Here is a 3,745-nt window from a genome sequence, read left to right as displayed (position 1 = left end):
CCATATTGGCCAGGATGGTCTTGATCTCCTGACCTCATGATCTGCCTGCCTTGGCCCCCCCAAAGTGCTGGGATTACAGGCGTGAGCCACCACACCCAGCCTCATTACTTCTACTCAACATTATTTATAGAAGTTAAAAAAAAATACAACAAAATACAAGATTGTATAATATGAAACACCATATAATAAAAATATTGAAAAGGGAGACGTAAAACTGTCTTTACTCAGAGAAAACATGATTGCATACAAAATCCTAAGCAATCTACATAAAAATCTACTAGAGCTAACAAGTCATTCAGGCAAAGTTACAGGATAAATGGCCTGTGTACAAAAATCAATTGCATTTCTTTATCCTAGCAACAAATAATTGGAATATGAAATTTTAAAAACAATACCATCTATAATAGCATCAAAAATAAAAAATATTTAAGGATAAATTTAACAAAATATGTAAAAGCTTATCCTTAAAACTTGTAACACATTGCTGAGAGAAAATTTTTTAAATTGTAAATGAATCCAGAGAGCCACCTTGCTCATTGATTGAAATGCTCATTGTTAAAATTTCCTCTCTCAACTGATTTATAGCAATGCAATCTCAATCAAAATCCTAGCAGAATTTTTTTTGTAGAATTGACAAACTGATTACAAAAATGTATATGAAAAATTAAAGAACCCAAAGAAGAGTCAAAACAATTTTGAAAAAGAATGAATTACAATATTGTTGTAAAGATAAACAAATAAATTAATGAAACAAAACAGAGTATGAAAGTAAATCCAGGCTGAGGAAGGCAGATTGCTTGAGCTCAGGAGTTCAAGACAAGCCTGGGCAACAAAGTGAGACCCTACATCTACCCAAAACACAAAAAATTAGCTGGGCATGGTGGCACATGCCTGTAAGCCCAGCTACCTGGGAGGCTGAGGCACAAGAATCACTTGAACCTGGGAGGTGCAAGTTGTGGTGAGTCAAGATCATGCCATTGCACTCTAGCGTGGGGGAAGAGCCAGACCCTGTCTCAAAAAAAAAAAAAAAAAGAAAAGAAAAGAAAGTAAATCCACACTTATAGGGTCAATTCATTTCAACTAAAGCACCAAAGCAATTCAATGGGAAATAGAAAGTTTCTTTAACAAATGGCTGTCTATATGGAAAAACTGGCTGTCTATATGGGAAAAAAAGGAACCTTGATCCATACCTCACAACATATACAAAGACCAATTCAAGATAGATCATAAATCTAAGTGCAGAAGTTAAAACTATTGAGCTTCTAGAACATATAGCAGAAAAGTCTCCACAATCTTAGATAGGTAAAGATTTCTTAGGACATAAAAAAGCAAGGTGTGCAAAAGAAAAAACTAACAAAATTGACTGTATCAAAATTAAAATCTTCTGTTCATCAAACATCATCATTTAAAAAATGAATAGATAAGTAGTGGACTGGGAGAAAATGTTCATAGACATATACCTTGGAAAGAAATGTATCCAGAATATTGCATAAGCTCACAGCTCCTACGAATCAAGAATAAAAAGACAAACAACCTAATTTTTAAAAATGAGTGAAATTTCTGAACATTCCCTTCACAATGGAAGATAGACAAATGGCCAATAAGCAAATAGAAAAGTATTCAACAATGCTATTCGTCAGAAAAATGTAAATTAAAATCATAATGAAACACCTCTACACACCCCGTGGAGCTGACAACAGTATTTAGAGCAAATGAAACTGATTCTTTGCTGATGGGAGTGTAAAATGGAATAGCCACTTTGGAAATTGATCTGACAACTTCCTATATATAAAGTTCCTATGAACACCCTATGACCCAGCAATTCTACTTCTAGGCATTTATTCAAGAGAAATGAACACATACATACATAAATACACTTCTAAAAGAATGTTCATAATAGCTTTTTCCTTTTACACTTTATTAGCCCATTTTCATGCTGCTGATAAACACATACCTGAGATTGGGCATGTGATACTCTTTCTTTTCTTACAAAAGAAAGAGGTTTATGGGATTCACAGTTCCACATGGCTGGGGAGGCCTCACAATCATGACAGAAGGCAAGGAGGAACAAGTCACATCTTACATGGATAGCGGCAGGCAAAGAGAGAGCTTGTGCAGAGAAACTCCTGTTTTTAAAACCATCAGATCTCATGAGACCTATTTACCATCACGAGAACAGCACCAGAAAGACACACCCCCATGATTCAATCATCTCCCACCAGGTCCCTGTCACAACACGTGGGAATTATGGGAGCTAAAAGGTGAGACTTGGGTGGGGACACAGAGCCAAATCATATCATTCCACTCCTGGCCCTCCCAAATCTCATATCTTCACATTTCAAAACCAATCATGCTTCCCAACTGTCTTCCCAAAGTCTCAACTCATTTCAGCATTAATTCAAAAGTCCACAGTCCAAAGTCTCATCCAAGACAAGGCAAATCCCTTTCATCTATGAGCCTGTAAAATCAAAAGCAAGCTAGTTACTTCCTTGATACAATGGAGGTATCGGCATTGGTTAAATACAGCCATTCAAAATGGGAGAAATTGGCCAAAACAAAGGGGCTACAGGCCCCAGCCAAGTCCAAAATCCAGCTGGGCAGTCAAATCTTAAAGCTCCAAAATTATCTCCTTTGACTCCAGGTCATGCTGATGCAAGAGGTGGGTTCCCATGGTCTTGGGCAGCTCTGCCTCTGTGGCTTTGCAGGGTATGGCCTCCCTCCCGGCTGCTTTCACGGGCTGGCATTGATTGTCTGTGGCTTTTCCAGGCGAAAGGTGCAAGCTGTGGGTGGATCTACCATTCTGGGGTCTGGAGGACAGTGGCCCTCTTCTCAAAGCTCCACTAGGTGGTGCCCCAGTAGAGACCCTGTGTGGAGGTTCTGACCCCACATTTCTCTTCCGCACTGCCCTAGCAGAAGTTCTCCATGAGCGCCACCTGCCCCCACAGCAGCAAACTTCTGCCTGGGCATCCAGGCGTTTCCATATATCTTCTAAAATCTAGGAGAAGGTTCCCAAACCCCAATTCTTGACATCTGTGCACTCCCAGGATAACACCATGTGGAAGCTGCCAAGGCTTGGGGGTTGCATCCTCTGAAGCCATGACCCAAGCTCTACAATGCCCCTCTCAGCCACAGCTGGAGCAGGCGGGACACAGGGCACCAAGTCCCTAGGCTGCACACAGCACAGGGACCCTGGGCCCATGAAACCATTTTCTCCTAGGCCTTTGGGCCTGTGATGGGAGGGGCTGCCATGAAGACCTCTGACATGCCCTGGAGACATTTTCCCCATTGTCTTGAGGATTAACATTCGGCTCCTCCTTACTTATGCAAATTTCTGCAGCTGGCTTGAATTTCTCCTCAGAAAATGGGTTTTTCTTTTCTATCACATTGTCAGGCTGCAAATTTTCTGAACTTTTATGCTCTGCTTCCCTTATAAAACGGAATGCCTTTAATAGCATCCAAGTAACCTCTTGAATGCTTTGCTCCTTAGGAATTTCTTCTGCCAGATACCCTAAATCATCTCTCTCAAATTCAAAGTTCCACAAATCTCTAGGGCAGGGGCAAAATGCCACCAGTTTGTTTGCTAAAACATAACAAGAGTCACCTTTGCTCCAGTTCCCAACGAGTTCCTCATCTCCATCTGAGACCACCTCAGCCTGGATTTTATTGTCCATATCACTATCAGCATTTTGGTCAAAGCCACTCAACAAGTCTCTAGGAAGTTCCAAACTTTCCCACATTTTCCTGT

The 3,745-nt window shown here is 40.5% G+C and overlaps 1 annotated feature.

The window, feature by feature from the left end:
• Positions 2,775-2,864: an enhancer, noted in NCBI's record as "active region_26764". NCBI's record gives its function as "activates an Ori minimal core promoter by ATAC-STARR-seq in GM12878 lymphoblastoid cells {active_cell/tissue: GM12878}" and the evidence as "EXISTENCE:reporter gene assay evidence [ECO:0000049][PMID:35858748]".

This window comes from Homo sapiens, chromosome 7 (genome assembly GCF_000001405.40).
Source record: "Homo sapiens chromosome 7, GRCh38.p14 Primary Assembly".
Lineage (NCBI taxonomy): Eukaryota > Metazoa > Chordata > Mammalia > Primates > Hominidae > Homo > Homo sapiens.
This window is presented reverse-complemented; position numbering and strand designations above follow the sequence as displayed.